The following is a 16,783-nucleotide window of genomic DNA, read 5'->3' as shown; positions in this document are numbered from 1 at the left end:
CTGGCCAACATGGTGAAACCTGACCTGTACTAAAAATACAAAAAATTAGCCAGTCGTGGTGGAGGGCACCTGTAATCCCAGCTACTTGGGAGGCTGAGGCAGGAGAATCACTTGAACCTGGGAGGCGGAGGTTGCAGTGAGCCAAGATTGTGCCACTGCACTCCAGCCTGGGCAAGAAGTGTGAAACTTTGTTTCCAAAAAAAAAAAAAGGGGATCATCCCAATAGATGCAAAAAAGTTCAATACAACTTGATGAAACACTCAATAAATAATGAACAGAAGGGAACTTCTTCAAACTGAATTAAGGCATTTATTAAAAACCTGCAGCTAACATCATACTTGATCAGGAGACTAAATGCTTTCTCCATCAGATTAGATAAAAATATTGTCATATCACAGGGCTATCCTTAAGTCAAAATGAACCATCCAAATAATACTCAGAAATAACGACAAAGAGTAAAGAGCAAAAAATGGGAATGATTCACATGAGACAATACTCTATGGTAAACTTTACATACTGATAAATTGATACCAAGTCCTTATTAGCAAAGAAAATGGAGTCAACATTGTATCATGCCAAAAAGAGTAGTTTTCCCCATAATAAAGGAAAGTGGAATACATATGATGGGTGAGGAATATGCAGAATCTGCCACATAACACCAGTAAGAAATCTCTATTAATAAAGACTCATGGGCCGGTCGCAGTGGCTCACTCCTGTAATCTCAGCACTTTGGGAGGCCAAGGTGGGGTGGATCACAAGGTCAGGAAATCAAGACCATCCTGGCCAGTACAATGAAACCCCGTCTCTACTAAAATACAAAAAATTAGCCAGGCATGTCGGCACGCGCCTGTAGGAGGCTAAGGCAGGGGGATTACTTGAACCCGGGAGGTGGAGGTTGCAGTGAGCCAAGATCGCGCCACTACACTTCAGCCTGGCGACAGAGCAAGACTCAGTCTCAAAAACAAAAGAAAACAAACAAAAATAGACTCATTTTGTAATGGCCCATTCATCACAGAACAATTAAACACTACATAAAAATTAAACCTGCTTACATATTAGAAATAAATTTCACTTCACCCACAGATCCAACACTTTAAAATGGATAGAAAAAAATGAAAACCAAAATGGATAGAAAAAAATTTTATTAACTAACTTAGGATAAAAACACTTCCTATTAAACCTCAGGTACCACTGCTTAAAGAGTATCATTCTCACATTTCCTTGCAAAAGTGGAAACCCATAATCCAAAGATCCTTTTTAAGAATGAGTCACAGGGGCCGGGCAAGGTGTCTCATGCCTATAATCTCAGCACTTTGCGAGGCTGAAGAGGATGGATTCCTTGAGGTCAGGAGTTCAAGACCAGCCTGGCCAATGTGGAAAAACCCTGTTTCTACAAAAATACCAAAAATTTAGCTGGGCATGGTGGCGTGCGCCTGTAATCCCAGATGCTTCGGAGACTGAAGCAGGAGAATTGCTTGAACCCAGAAGTCAGAGGTTACAGTGAGTCAAGATCGCGCCACTGCACTCTAGCCTGGGCAACAGAGTGAGACTGTGTCTCGGGAAAAAAAAAAAAGGCCAGGCGCGGTGGCTCACACCTGTAATCTCAGCACTTTGGGAGGCCAAGGAGGGCGGATCACAAGGTCAGGAGTCTGAGACCAGCCTGAACCACATGGTGAAGCCCCGTCTCTACTAAAAATACAAAAAAATTAGCCAGGCGTGGTGGCATGTGCTTATAATCCCAGTTACTCAGGAGGCTGAGGCAGGAAAATTGCTCACACCCAGGAGGCGGAGGTTGCAGTGAGCCGAGATTGTGCCACTGCACTCCAGCCTGGGCGACAGGGCAAAACTCCATCTCAAAAAAAAAAAAAAAAAAGAAAGAAAAAAGAATGAGCCACTGATAAATGCTATATATTTATAACTTTGTGTAATAACTCATTCATGATTAAGTTTTTGAGCATTATATAATAATTAATTTGCATCAGGCTTTCAAAATTACTTACGTTTATAGGATTTCTTTCGAGTGGATGTTCTCACATGATTAATTTTTTTAGACAGGGTCTCACTGTTGCCCAGGCTGGAGTCCAGTGGCGCAATCTCCACTCACTGCAACCTCGACCTCCCAAACTCAAGCAATCCTCCCACCTCAGCTTCCTGAGTAGCTGGGACTACAGGCGAACACCATCATCCCTGGCTAACTTTTCTATTTTTTGTATACATGGGATTTCTCCAGGTTGCCAGGCTGGTCTTGAATACCTGGCCTCAAGCAATCTACCCACCCCAGCCTCCCAAAATGCTGGGATTACAGGGGAGAGCCACTGTGCACAGCCCATGTGAATTTTAATTATTGTTAAAATGGAAGTTTCCTGTATTTTCCAAACTACTAACGTTTCCATCCAGTGTGTATTCTTCGATTCATACCATCCATCTCCAGTGTGCACTGACACGTGTCTTTGAATGGAGATGAGAGCAATGAGAGTTTCCCCATATTCTGTACATTTCTACAATTTTTCTCCAGTATGAGTCCTTTTATGGCTCTGAATAGAACTGGAATATCTGAGGTCTTTGGATTTTTTTCCAGTTAGTCTTTTCATATCTTTGGAAACTGAATGTATTCCCATATTCCTTACATTCATAGGATTTCTCTCCTGTATAAATGAGAATTATTTCTTTCCCTTTTTTTCTGAGACAGAGTGTCACCGTCATCCAGGCTGGAGTGTAGTGGCACGATCTCAGCTCACTGCAGCCTCAACCTCCCAGGCTCAAGGGTTCCTCCCACCTCAGCTTTCTGAGCAGCTAGAACTACAGGGATGCACCACCTCACCCAGTTAATTTTTTTTTTCTTTGGAGATATGGGGCCTTCTTTTTTTTGTTTGTTTTGAGACGAAGTCTCGCTCTGTCACCAGGCTGGAGTGCAGCGGCGCGATCTCGGCTCACTGCAACCTCCAAGTCCCTGGTTCAAGCAATTCTCCTGCCTCAGCCTCCCGAGTAGCTGGGACTACAGGCACACACCACCACGCCTGGCTAATTTTTGTATTTTTAGTAGAGACGGGGTTTCACCATGTTGGCCAAGATAGTCTCCATCTCTGGACCTCGTGATCCACCCACCTCGGCTTCCCAAAGTGCTGGTTTTACAGGCATGAGCCACCACGTGATATGGGGCTTTTTTGTGTGTGTGTGTGATGGAGTCTCACTTTTGTCGCCCAGGCTGGAGTGCAATGGCGTGATCTCGGCTCACTGCAACCTCCACCTCCCAGGTTCAAGCGATTCTCCTGCCTCGGCCTCCCGAGTAGCTGAGATTACAGGTGCCCACCACCATGCCCAGTTAATTTTTTTGTATTTTTAGTAGAGACGGGGTTTCACCATGTTGGCCAGGCTAGTCTTGAACTCCTGACCTCAGGTGATCCACCCGCCTCAGCCTCCCAAAGTGCTGGGATTACAAGCGTGAGCCACCGTACCCAGCCGATATGGGGCCTTCTTATGTTGCCCAGGCTGGTCTCAAACTCCTGGGCTCAGGTGATCCCCCTGCCTCCTGCCAAAGCACTGGCTACGCCCGGCCAAATGAGTTCTTTCATGAAGTCTAAGGTAATTTGAAAAAGTAAAGACTTTACCACACTGTTTACAATCAAAGGGTTTTTCTCCAGTGTGAGTCATTTCATGTCTTCGGAGGGAACTGCACCACCCAAAGGCTTTACCACACCTTGTACATTCATATGGCTTTTCTCCACTATGAGTTTTTTTATGTCTTCGAAAACAACTGGGATAATTGAAGGTTTTACCACATTTATTACATTCATAAGGTCTTTCTCCAGTGTGAGCTCTTTCATGTGCTTGAAGGGACGTGGGACATCTAAAGACTTTGGCACATTTTTGACATTCGTAGAGTTTTCCTCCACTATGAGTTCTTTCATGTCTGTGAAGGGAACTGGAACAACTGAGTTTTTTCCCACATTCCTGACATTGGTGGGATTTCTCCAGCGCGTGAGATCTGATTTCATGTGTCCGAAGGTAACCTGCGGAAATGAAGGCTTTACCACATTGTTTACATTTGTAAGGTTTTTCTCCAGTGTGAGTTCTAACATGAATTTGAAATAAACTGGGATAATCGATAGGTTTTCCACAGTATTTACATTCATAGCGTTTTTCTCCAGTATGCATTTTTCCATGTTTTCGAAAGAAACTGGAAACTGTGAAGGCTCTCACTATTTCCCTACATTTATAGGACCTCTTTCCAGTGTGAGTTCTTTGATGGATTTGAAATAAATTGGGAGAATTAAAGGCTTTCCCGCACACCTTGCATTCATAAGGTCTCTTTCGAGTTGGTGTTACTGTGCGCCGTGCACCACTACTGGGGGAAATGGAGGCTTTCCCATGTTGTTTCTGTTTACGGGGCGTCTCTCTCCATTCCCCACCACACTCAGATCGTTTGTGTCCAGCATGAGCTCTCATGTGCCTGTCCAGGAATGAATGACGGAGGAAGACTTTCCCACACACGCTGCATTTGCATGGTTTCACTCCAGTTTGACTTTTCTTGTTCAGGTGACAATCAGGAATCTGGCTGAAAGTTTCTCTGTGTTCATTCCCTTCTTTACGTCCACAGAGTCTCTCCACCAGACTTCTATGAAAAATGACAAACGCATTATCAATGCTTGGTTTATTAATGCTTTTCTACTAATTGACATGTCTTAAGACTTATGCTGCTACCAAAATCAGGAAAAGTGGAGGTTTTCTCCTGGGTCAGAATTATTAGAAAGGAAGTGTATTGATGATTCTGCTACCCAGCTCCCCATAGCAGTTATCCAAACAGTGACATCCATGTCACAGATTCTTAGTACCCTGTCCAGACACTCAACATCTACATTACATTGAAGGATAGATTTTTGGTAGCAATCTTCTAATAATCAGTTAAAAACCTAACATTGTACTTATTTGTCTTGTATTTTTTTAAAAATTTTCCTGACCTACTAAGATTCCCTCAAGAGACACTGCTTCCTCTTGTGAGTGGAGATTACCTTAGCTTAATCCCCAGGTTTTGGTACAGATTCTCAATGTCCTGGTCTTTCCATTGGATTCCTAAAATGTAGACCCAGAGAAATTATTATGAATTATTTAAAATTACAGAAAAATCACTAGGTTCTAAGTTCATTAAACACTGCCACAATGCCTGATTTTTTTTTTTTTTTGGAGACAAAGTCTCACTCTGCCACCCAGGCTGGAGTGCAGTGATGCAATCTCTGCTCACTGCAGCCTCCGCCTCCTGAGTTCTAGTGATTCTCCTGCCTCAGCCTCCCGAGTAGCTGGGATTACAGGTATGCACTACCACACCCAGCTAATTTTGTATTTTTAGTAGAGATGAGGTTTCGCCATGTTGACCAGGCTGGTCTCAAACTCTTGACCTCAGGTGATCCACCTGCCTCAGCCTCCCAAAGTGCTGGGATTACAGGCAGGAGCCATCACACCCAGCAATACTTCTGCATTTCTCAACATTATCTCAACATTATCCCAAAGTGCTGGGATTATAGGCATGAGCTGCCACAATTGCCCACCCCCCACTTTTTTTTTTTTTTTTTAAAGAGACAGGGTCTCATCATGTTGCCCAGGCTGGTCTCAAACTCCTGGACGCAAGCAATCTTCCCACCGTGGCTTCCCAAAGCACTAGGATTACAAGGGTAAGCCACTGTACCTGGCCCACGATGCCCCATTTATTCACCAACGTATTCTCTTTCCACATTCCAAACTGTGCAACCACACTGGTGACCAAAACACACTTGTCTTCTAATTGACTAAGGAAGGAAATGTCCTTCTTACCGACCGAGGCCAGGTTCCTGAAGGTTTCCAGCGTCACATCTCTGTAGAGATTCTTCTGGGAAGGACTCAGCAAAGCCCACTCCTCCTGGGTGAAGTTCACAGCCACATCCTCAAAGGCCACTGAGTCCTGAAACATCCCACAGGTGTGGAGGAGGAGGGGTGAGACTCAGCACTGGGGATCTCTACTCAATACATGAGTGATCCCATGACGCCGGGCTCTCCAAACACTCACTCCATGATTGAGTCATCGGCCTCCTCCTATCTACACGCACTTCCTCCCTCGCAGCAGTTCCAGTGTGAGAACTGACCTACTCAGAGAGCCAGCCACAGAGGAGGACCACCCTCTCTGTGGTGGGTCCAGGGAGTCAGTTGTGCTGCTGCGTTGCCCCAAATGCTCTTTGCAGAGTGAATCTCTAGTACCTGTCACAACAAACTCCCACCACCTGGTGTGCAGACAGCGCTCATTTCAGCAGTCCTGAGTCTGGGTATCCTTAGAAAGGCCTGTTTACCAAGTTCGACCTTTGCTACTATCGGGGTCAACTTAGACTACGAGAGGGATCCCATCAACTTAAGTGACAAAGTGGCTTACTGTGGCTAAACGGTTTATGGTATTGACAAACAGGATGGTACTGACTGAACTGTTTTCCTTCTGAAAGCCTACTCTTTTGTTCCAAACTAGAAGTGGTGCCTAGGGCACTAGCCCCAGAAAAACACTCTGGGCACAGAGTCTTTAATGAGCTTTCCTGGGAGACAATATGTCACACGTGTTGTCACAACTTGTCCCCTGGGGAACTGAGCTCATCCCATGTGGTTATACCAAGAGAGAATATCCTGAAGCTTGCAAGCAGTTTACTCTAGACCAAATTTAATCAAGTAGTAAATAAGATTCATGATCAATATTTAATTGTCCTAATGGAAGAATTTTAAAATTTCTGTCAGGTAATGTCAAAGCAGTATGGAGTAAGTGGAAAGATAACATGTGTTCCTAGAAAAAACTCAATAAGATGTCCCTTCTTCCAAATGATATCCTTACAAAATTTCATAAATACCCAATACAGCTGGGTGTGGTGACTCACACCTGTAATCCCAGCACTTTGGGAGGCCGAGGCAGGTGGATCACTTGAGGACAGGAGTTTGAGACCAGCCTGGCCAACATGGTGAAACCCCATCTCTACTAAAAATACAAAAAATTAGCCAGGCGTGATGGCGCATGCCTGTAGTCCCAGCTATTTGGGAGGCTGAGACAGAAGAATCACTTGAACCCAGGAAGCGGAGATTACAGTCAGCTGAGATCATGCCACTGCACTCCAGCCTGGGCAACAGAGCGAGACGCCGTCTCAAAAAAAAAAAAAAATCCCCAAAACAGACATTTTAGGTAAACAAAAGCTACTTTTCCAAACCTCCCACCACCTGGTGTGCAGGAATTAACATCTAATAATTGTCAAAGCCTTCTGAATAGCAGGTGGATGGCTTACCTAACACCAAAGATTTCCAAACCATCACATTCAGGACAGCATACTATTAGCAGAGAGATAAACAAATAGATCAAGGAAAAAGAAGAGTCTTCAATGGGCCAGTATTCATATGAAAACTTGGTTAATAACAGAGCAGGCATGTAGAGTAGTAGGGTGGACCACTTGAGGTCAGGAGTTAAAGACCAGCCTGGCCTACATAGTGAAAACTGGTCTCTATTAAAAATAGAAAAATTAGCCTGGCATGGTGGGCCTGGGCAACAGAGCAAGACTCCACCTCAAAAAACAAAAAAATTAAAAGTTATAGCCACCTCTAGAAAAATTTTTTAAAAACATTAGCAGGGTATGTTAGCAGGTGTCTGTGGTCCTAGCTACTTGGGAAGTTAAGGCAGGAGGATTGCTTGAGCCCAGGAATTCAAGGTTGCAGTGAGCTAGGATTGTGTTACTGCACTCCAGCCTGGGTGACAGAGTGACACTTTGTCTCCAAATAAATAAATAAATAAAGATTGATATAATATTTTTTGAGATAGGATCTCACTCTGTTGTCCAGACTAGAGTGCAGTGGTACAATCATGGCCCCTGCAGTCTTAACCTCCCAGGCTCAAGTGATCATCCCACCTTGTTCCCTACTACAGGTGGGCACCACCACACCCAGCTAATTTTTGTATTTTTTGTAGAGATAGGCTCTCCCTGTGTTGCCCAGGCTCCTCTCAAACTCCTGGGCTAAAGCGATCTGCCCACCTTCGCCTCTGAAAGTGCTGGGACTACACGCATAAGCCACTGTGCCCGGCCTATTATCTTTAAATGAGGCTAAGTCATAGGTCAATAGAATGATTCCCCTCACCTCACCCCTTACACTCACAGCAACAGCAGCAGAATACATACATACAGCAGAGGACAAAAAACTGTACAACTCAGGCTTAATTTCAGAAGTCCTTTAGAATACTTCAGTAAATTATATAACTGATTACGTGGACAAATGTCTACACATACACAATATACCAAGACTGAGTCATGAAAAAACAAAAAATCTGAACAGAGCTGTAGTAGCAGGAGATTGGCATAGTAATAAAAAAAAAATAGCCAGGCACGGTGGCTCATGCCTGTAATCCCAGCACTTTGGGAGGCCAAGGTGGGTGGATCCCCTTAAGTCAGGAGTTCGAGACAGGCTAGCCAACATGGTGAAACTCCGTCTCTACTAAAAATACAAAAAATTACCTGGGCATGGTGGTGGACGCCGGTAATCCCAGCTACTTGGGAGGCAGAGGCAGGAGAATCCCATGAACCCGGGAGGCGGAGGTTGCAGTGAGCCGAGATCATGCCATTACACTCCAGCCTGGGCAACAAGAGTGAAACTCCATCTCAAAAAAATAAAATAAATTAAGAAAAATAATAAATTGGCTGGGCGCGGTGGCTCATGCCTGTAACCTCAGCACTTTGGGAGGCAGAGGAGGGTGGATCACAAGGTCAGGAAATTGAGACCATCCTGGCTAACACGGTGAAACCCCGTCTCTACTAAAAACGCAAAAAAGTAGGCTGGCATGGAGGCAGGCACCTGTAGTCCCAGCTACTGGGGAGGTTGAGGCAGGACAATGGCATGAACCTGGGAGGCAGAGGTTGCAGTGAGCCGAGATGGCGCCACTGCACTCCATCCTGGGCGACAAAACGAGACTCCATCTCAAAATAATAATAATAATAATTTTAAAAACCTCAACGAATACAAAACCCAGGACACCAAATAGTTTCACTGCTGAAATCCACCAAAAATTTAAAAAAGAATTGCTATCAATCCTCCTCAAACTCTTCCAAAACTGAAGAGGGGACATTTCCAAACTCCCTCTATGAGGTCAAAATTATGCTGACACCAAAGACAGACACTACAAAAAACAAAACTACAAATGCCCTTTATGAATATCAATGCAAAAAATCCTCAAATAAATGCTAGCAAATCATACCTGACAGCATATTTAAAGGATTATATGACATCATCAAGAGAGATTTATCCGCAAAATGCAAGGATGGTTCAAATATGAAAAACAATGGGGCTGGGTGCGGTGGCTCACGCCTGTAATCCCAGCACTTCGGGAGGTCGAGGCGAGTAGATCACTTGAGGTGAGAAGTTCAAGACCAGCCTGACCAGCATGGTGAAACCCCATCTCTACTAAAAATACACAATCAGCCAGGTGTGGTAGCCCACACCTGTAGTCCCAGCTACTCGAGAGGCTAAGGCAGGAGAATCACTTGAACCCAGGAGGCAGAGGTTGCAGTGAGCTGAGATCACACCATTGTACTCCAGTCTGGGCAACAGAGGTAGACTGTCTCAAGACCAAAAAAGTCAGCTACATTTATATGCACCAAAACTGAATAATGTGAAAAAGAAATTAAGAAAACAATACCACAAACAATAGCACCAAAAAGAATTGAATAGGCCAGGCGCGGTGACTCACATCTGTAATCCCAGCACTTTGGGAGGCAAAGGCAGGTGGATCAAAAGGTTAGGAGTTCAAGACCAGCCTGGCCAAGATGGTGAAACCCCGTCTCTACTAAAAATACAAAAATTAGTCGGGCGCGGTGGCAGGCACCTGTAATCCCAACTACTTGGGAGGCTGAGGCAGGAGAATCGCTTGAACTCAGGAGACAGAGGTTGCAGTGAGCTGAGATCGCACCACTGCACTCCATCCTGGGCAACAAAGCAAGACTCCATCTCAAAATAATAATAATAATAATAATAATTTAAAAAGCCTCAACAAATATAAAACCCAGGACACCAAATAGCCCAGACTGGGCGACAGAGTGAGACTCTGTCTCAAAAAAAAAAAAAAAAAAAAAAAGAATTGAACGCTTAGAAATTACAAAACCAAGAAGTCGAAAGACTACTTGTACACTAAAAACAACAAAATGTTGCTGAATGAAATTAAAGACAAATTGAAAAATATCTTGTGTTCATGTGTTCGAAGACTTTACATTATTTGGCCAGGTGCGGTGGCTCATGCCTGCAACCCTAGCACTTTGGGAGGCCGAGGTGGGTGGATTACAAGGTCAGGAGTTCAAGACCAGCCTGGCTAACATGATGAAACCCTGTCTCTACTGAAAATACAAAAATTAGCCAGGTGTGGTGGCACGTGCCTGTAATCCCAGCTACTCCGGAGACTGAGACAGAAGAACTGCTTGAACCCAGAAGGTGGAGGTTGCAGTGAGCCGAGATCATGCCACTGAACCCCAGCCTCGGCGACAGAGCAAGACTCCAATTCAAAAAAAAAAAAAAAAAAAGCCAGCACATTGGCTCATATCTGTAATCCCACCACTTTGGGAGGCCAAGGCAGGCAAATCACCTGAGGTCAGGAGTTTGAGACCAGCCTGGCCAACATGGTAAAATCCCATCTCTACTAAGAATACAAAAAAAAAAATTAGCCAGGCGTGGTGGCATGCGCTTGTAGTCCCAGCTACTCAGAAGGCTGAGGCAGGAGAATGGCTTGAAACCAGGAAGTGGAGGTTGCAGTGAGTCAAGACCGTGCCACTGCATTCCAGTCTGGGTGATAGAGCAAGACTCTGTGTCAAAGAAAAAAAAAAGACTTTACATTATTTGGAAGGTACTACTACCCAAAATGATCTGCAAATTCAATACAATCCCTATCAAAATCCCATGTCTGGTTTTTTTTGTTTTGTTTTCTTTTTTCAGAAATAAAAATACCAGCCAGTCACAGTGGCTCATGCCTATAATCCCAACACTTTGGGAGGTCGAAGTGGGAGGATTGCCTGAGCTCAGGAGTTTCAGACTGGCCTAGCCAACATGTTGAAACCCCGTGTCTACTAAAAATACAAAAAATTGGCTGGGCGTGGTGGCAGGTGCCTGTAATCCCAGGTACTTGGGAGGCTGAGGCAGGAAAATCGTTTGAACCTGGGAGGCAGAGGTTGCAATGAGCTGAGATCGTGCCACCGCACTCCAGCCTGGGCAACAGAGACCCCCCCCGCCAAAAAAAAAGCCCGTTCTAAAATGCATATAGGGCTGAATGTGATGGTTCACGCCTGTAATCCCAACACTATGGGAGGCCGACGCAGGAGGACCATGAGGTCAGGAGTTCGAGACCAGCCTGGCCAACATGGCGAAACCCTGTCTCTACTAAAGCTAAAAAAAATTAGCTAGGTGTGGTGGAGGGCACCTGTAATCCCAGCTACTCAGGATTCAGCTACCGGGTTCAGCTACCGGGCGTGGGGGAGGGCTGAGGCAGGAGAATCACTTTAGCGGAGGTTGTAGTGAGCCAAGATTGTACCATTGCACTCCAGCCTGGGCAACAGGGCAAGACTTTGTCTCGAAAGTAAAAAAATAAAATAAATAAATTTATAAATATATATATAATCATACATAAAATTTATAAATATATATAATCATACAACTTATAAATATATATATAATCATACATATAATTTATATATATATATATATACACACACACATTTTTTAAGATGGGGGTCTCACTATATTGCCCAGGCTGGACTTGAACTCCTGGGCTAAATCGATTCTCCCGCCTCAGCCTCTCAAGTACCTAGAATTACAGGTGTTTGCCAGTGTTCCTGCCCTCAGTTCATCTTGAATTGCTGTTACAAGCCGTTGAAGTCAATTTTTAGAAAAGAACAAAGCCTACTGAAATTTTTCTTGAAGTCTGAAAATGTCTCGTGAATAAAATGATTATGATGTAAAAAGCATACGTTGAAAAATATCTGCCGGGCACGGGGGCTCACGCCTGTAATCCCAGCACTTTGGGAGGCCGAGGCGGGCGGATCACGAGGTCAGGAGATCGAGACCATCCTGGCTAACACGGTGAAACCCCGTCTCTACTAAAAATACAAAAAATTAGCCGGGCGTAATGGCGGGCACCTGTAGTCCCAGCTACTCGGGAGGCAGAGGCAGGAGAATGGCGTGAACCCGGGAGGCGGAGCTTGCAGTGAGCCGAGATCGCGCCACTGCACTCCAGCCTGGGCGACAGAGCAAGACTCTGTCTCAAAAAAAAAAAAAAAATCCTAACACCTAAGGTGATGGTATTAATATTACGGGCAGCAACTCTGGGAAATAACTGGGATTACATGAGATCATGAGAGAGACCTAGGAGTACAGATTAGTATCCTTAGGAAAAGAGATGAGTATCTATCACTTTCAGATGTCATTCAGTATTTTTTCCATAATAAACTATTCAGTAAACAAAAGATCATATCTGACTACTTCTAGATGTTGCCAAACTTATCCCAAAGGATTCAGCGTTAATCTGTCAAATCCAGATAACACAAAACAGAACAGAGTTATCCACCATCACAAATTCCCCAACCTGCAAAGGAGAGGAGCTGATGTGCTGGTGAATCTTTGTAAATCACTAATTTCTGCTTATCTACCATGCCTTTTTTTATTATGTATTTTTTGAGATGGAGTCTCGCTCTGTCGCGCAGGCTGGAGTGCAGTGGCGCGATCTCCAGCTCACTGCAAGCTCCGCCTCCCGGATTCACGCCATTCTCCTGCCTCAGCCTCCAGAATATCTGGGACTACAGGCGCTCGCCACCACGCCTGGCTAATTTTTTTGTATTTTTAGTAGAGACGGGGTTTCCCCGTGTTAGCCAGGATGGTCTCGATCTCCTGACCTCGTGATCTGCCTGCCTCTGCCTCCCAAAGTGTTGGGATTACAGGCGTGAGCCATCGCGCCCGACCTACCATGCCTTTTTTTTGTGGGAATGTATTCATATTCTGCAGCCATAATGGAAGATTTCCTTTTTTTTTTTTAAAGACAGGGTCTCACTCTGTCGTTCAGTGCAGTGGCGCAATCACAGCTAACGGCAGTCTCAACCTCCCCGGGTTCAGGTGGCTCTCCCACCTCAGTCTCCTGAGTAGCTGAGACTACAGGCATGCGCCACCATACCCGGCTAATTTTTGTATTTGTTGTAGAAATGGGGTCTCGCCACTTTGCCCAGGATGGTCTCAAACTTCTGGGCTCAAGAGATCTTCCCGCCCCAGCCTCCCAAAGTGCTGGAATTACAGGCGTGAGCCACCTGGGCAGGAGAATCGCTTTTGACTTCCAGAGCAGACTGGGCAACATAGTGAGACCTTGTCTCTACAAAAAATAAAAACTAGCCGGGCGTGGCGCATGCCTGTGGTCCCAGCTTCTTGGAAGACTGAGGCAGGAGGATTGCTTGGGCCCCAGAGGTTGAGGCCGTAGTAAGCCATGACTGTGCCACTGCATGCCACCCTGAGCTGCCTCAGAAGGGAGAAGTTTCTTTCTACTGTTTCTGGCCCCACCCCACCCCCAAGGGCCAGCAGGGAATCCCTCTGGAATTTCCTAAGGAAACTTCTTTTCAAAAGACAAGAACTCCTCCCTAGGAGGCTCATCAAACAACCAGGAAAGATTAACCACGCCAGGACAGACTTTTCACCCGTTCTTCCGAGGGCAGCTGGAAGAAGTCCCTGGACGGTCCTGAAACCCAGGACCAGAAAGATAGGAGGGTGGGCTGAGGACCCAATACCCTGTGAAGTTCCCAAGAGAAGCCTCCACCCAAAGACTGTCTGATAAGGTGGCCGCGCCTAGGGAAGGTAAAAAGAGGGCAGGCACAGTGATTTTTTTTTTTTAACATCGGAGTGTCAGGGGGTTATTTTCTGCTTTGCTCGCATGTGAAATGTTCACAAACGGAAAATGAACTTTTTAAGAAGTGCCATCTAGGGCTCCTTGGAAAAGATGACAGTTAAAACACTGGGTCTTGCCAGGCGCAGTGGCTCAAGCCTGTAATCCCAGCACTTTGGGAGACCGAGGCAGGCAGATACCTGAGATCAGGACTTCAGCACGGCCAACATGGTGAACCTGTCTCTACTGAAAATACAAGTTAGCCGGACGTGGTGGCGGGCACCTGTAATTCCAGCTACTCAGGAGGCTGAGGCAGGAGAATCACTTGAACCCGGAAGACGGAGGCTGCAGTGAGCCCAGACAGTGCCACTGCACTCCAGCCTGGGCGACAGAGTGAGACTCCGTCTCAAAAATAATAGAAATAATGATAATAATAATAATGTGAAGTGGATGTACTGGAGGGAGAACTTAGGGTTGGGGAATGCGGGGAAATTTAGGGATTTACTGCAGCCCTGGGAGGAGCGAAGCTGGGGGACGGGGTCGTGGGTTTGAAACCCAGCTTCCCACACCTTTGGAAGACTCCGAAGGAAACGGGGACCGCCTAAGGGAGGAGGAACTGGGGACCCCACAGGCCACGGCTCCTCCCGCACGAACCCCACACCCGAGGCGGGATTCCCCCTAAGACCCTCCTGAGGCCCCCGCACGATCTGGGGAGACGCGGGGCTGCGGGCGCGGAGCTGCCCTGAGAGGGCTCCGGGGCCGGGACAGGACACCCGGGGTCCCGGCGGCTGGTCCAGCTCCACCCGGCGACCGAGGGGACCAAGGGTCGAGCTGCGCCTGGGGGACTCGGGTCCCAGACCCCCACAGTCGCCGCGGGGAGGCCCAGGTCCAGCCACTGCCGGTTCCGACCAGCTCCTCCTCAGGTCTCCGGACGCCCGGCTCCGCACGCTCACCATTTCCGGCTTCCGGGTGTCCTGGGTCCTTCCTGGGGCTGGAGCAGCCAGAACAGGTCCCACACGACAAAATCAGCCGTATCCGGGGCACCAGGGGCTCCCCGAGGAACTAAAACCCGGACCCGAATGGGGGGCCGGCGGGAAATGAGACCGCTTCGGGCTTTGGAAGTTGCCCCTCCTCCCGGCGCACCTGATTGGACAGTTTGCCGCACAGCGCCTCTGACTGGCTGGTGCCCCAGGTCCCGCCCCTGGGGCTTGAGCGACAGGAGAGGTGATCGGAATCCTCAAATAATCCGCTCGCTGTGTGGGGTGTGACTGACAGGTGCTACCCACAGCCCCTCGCTGGGACCTTGGACCTGGACTTGCATGGAAGCAGAACTTGCTCCCGTTAGGGTCAACCCAACCAGACTGTTCCCCTCCTTCCCCCATCAGTCTTACAATACAGTCCTTTGTGACCGCCACACAACTCCCCCCGGGCTAGAAGTAGACCTCCTCCCCACTGACCCTTCCAGTAACTGTTTGTTCAAAAGACTTCAGCTGAACCGGCAGACAGTTCCAGGATGCGGTCACAACACCTGCCCACCTTGCATAACAAAGCTGGCAAAAACATCTCCAGGATGCGGTCAGGACACCTGCACCCCCGACTCAGTTCTCACACCCCAGCCCAGTTCCTCGCCCTATAAAGCCCTGCTGTAGTCTGTAAGCGGGGCTGCCTCCTCTAACTGTGGGGGAGCAGCCCAGCAGGTTAATAAAACTTACTTGACTGACTTCAGGTCTCTTCGTCCTTTCGGCTGACCTTACAGCTCCTGGTTTTCCGGAGCAGGCCCTGTCGGCTTCCTGTACTCAGTGGGTCCTTCCTGCTGCTTTTTTTTTTTTTTTTTGAGACGGAGTTTCGCTCTTGTTGCCCAGGCTGGAATGCAATGGCACGATCTCAGCTAACTGCAACCTCCGCTTTCCGGTTTCAAGCGATTCTCCTGCCTCAGCCTCCCGGGTAGCTGCGATTACAGGCGCCCACCACCACTCCCGGCTAATTTTTGTATTTTTAGTAGAAATGGGGTTTCACCATGTTGGCCAGGCTGGTCTCGAACTCCTGATCTCGTGATCCGCCGGCCTCGGCCTCTCAAAGTGCTGGGATTACAGGCGTGAGCCACCGCGCCCAGCCGCCTCCTGCTTCTTTTTCCGGAACACCGGTCACATGAGTGTGCACGGAATTCCAGACTCCGTGTTCAGTGAAGCCATCCCTCCACCTTGGAGCTGGAGAGACTCCCAGGTCACAATGGAACAGGTAGGAGGCCCTGATGTCCTCCAGAGATCAGGAATTTATGAGGCTATTGGTCCCATGGCCAAGGCTTCCTACACGTTACTTCTTCTCAGGCTACTCCTTTTCAGCCAAGAAAATAAAAACATGCCTTAAAGGGAACAAAATTATTAAATGCAGGGAAAAACTGGAGTAAACCACTTTTTTTTTCTTTTTTTTTGAGACGGAGTCTGGCTCTGTCGCCCAGGCTGGAGTGCAGTGGCACGATCTCAGCTCATTGCAACCTCTGCCTCCCAGGTTCAAGAGATTCTCTTGCCTCAGCCTCCCGAGTCCGAGTAGCTGGAACTACAGGCATGTGCCACCATGCCCGGCCAATTTTTTTTTTTTTTTTTTTTTTTTGTATTTTTAGTAGAGACGGGGTTTCACCGTGTTAGCCAGGATGGTCTCGATCTCCTGAACTCGTGATCTGCCCGCCTTGGCCTCCCAAAGTGCTGGGATTACAGGCATGAGCCACCGTGCCCGGCCTGGAGTAAACATTCTATAAAGGTATTGCTACCAGAAAGGGGTCCAGTCCCAGACTCCAAGAGCAGAAGCTTGGACCTTGTATGGGAAAGAATTAATATTGGAGAAAAAACTGAAAAAGTAAGTATATCGAACTGTATCATGGGACAGAAACATGTCATTCCTATTTTTACT

General features: G+C 46.9%; 1 protein-coding gene across 5 annotated transcripts, besides 4 other annotated features; it reads right to left on the bottom strand.

Moving 5' to 3' along the window:
- Nucleotides 1-289: 289 nt before the first annotated feature.
- Nucleotides 290-15,643, bottom strand: ZNF101 (zinc finger protein 101). Of its 5 annotated transcripts, XM_047439722.1 has the most exons (5): nt 14,830-14,957; nt 8,496-8,613; nt 5,806-5,932; nt 5,010-5,070; nt 290-4,615 (listed from the first exon to the last, which is right to left on the bottom strand). In XM_047439722.1, the coding sequence occupies exons 2-5, from the start codon at nt 8,595-8,597 to the stop codon at nt 3,496-3,498; spliced, it is 1,410 nt and encodes a 469-aa protein (XP_047295678.1). In that variant the 5' UTR covers nt 8,598-8,613; nt 14,830-14,957; the 3' UTR covers nt 290-3,495. The 5 variants fall into 5 exon arrangements, with proteins under 5 accessions (XP_047295678.1, XP_047295679.1, NP_001287878.1 ...); XM_047439723.1 differs by lacking the exons at nt 8,496-8,613; nt 14,830-14,957 and adding an exon at nt 15,589-15,643; NM_001300949.2 differs by lacking the exons at nt 8,496-8,613; nt 14,830-14,957 and adding an exon at nt 15,589-15,643 and having other exon boundaries at nt 5,810-5,932.
- Nucleotides 14,136-14,701: an enhancer, noted in NCBI's record as "NANOG-H3K27ac-H3K4me1 hESC enhancer chr19:19779904-19780469 (GRCh37/hg19 assembly coordinates)". NCBI's record gives its function as "activates a minimal SCP1, AML or CMV promoter by ChIP-STARR-seq in naive H9 embryonic stem cells {active_cell/tissue: H9 hESC(naive)}" and the evidence as "EXISTENCE:reporter gene assay evidence [ECO:0000049][PMID:30033119]".
- Nucleotides 14,136-14,747: a biological region, named in NCBI's record as "NANOG-H3K27ac-H3K4me1 hESC enhancer GRCh37_chr19:19779904-19780469".
- Nucleotides 14,548-14,747: a silencer, noted in NCBI's record as "silent region_10456". NCBI's record gives its function as "represses an Ori minimal core promoter by ATAC-STARR-seq in GM12878 lymphoblastoid cells {active_cell/tissue: GM12878}" and the evidence as "EXISTENCE:reporter gene assay evidence [ECO:0000049][PMID:35858748]".
- Nucleotides 14,702-15,268: an enhancer, noted in NCBI's record as "OCT4-NANOG-H3K27ac-H3K4me1 hESC enhancer chr19:19779337-19779903 (GRCh37/hg19 assembly coordinates)". NCBI's record gives its function as "activates a minimal SCP1, AML or CMV promoter by ChIP-STARR-seq in naive H9 embryonic stem cells {active_cell/tissue: H9 hESC(naive)}" and the evidence as "EXISTENCE:reporter gene assay evidence [ECO:0000049][PMID:30033119]".
- Nucleotides 15,644-16,783: the final 1,140 nt, after the last annotated feature.

The sequence above is a fragment of the Homo sapiens genome, chromosome 19 (assembly GCF_000001405.40).
Source record: "Homo sapiens chromosome 19, GRCh38.p14 Primary Assembly".
Taxonomy (NCBI): Eukaryota; Metazoa; Chordata; class Mammalia; order Primates; family Hominidae; genus Homo; species Homo sapiens.
Note: the sequence above shows the minus strand (reverse complement) of the source record. Positions and strands in the feature narration are given on the sequence as shown.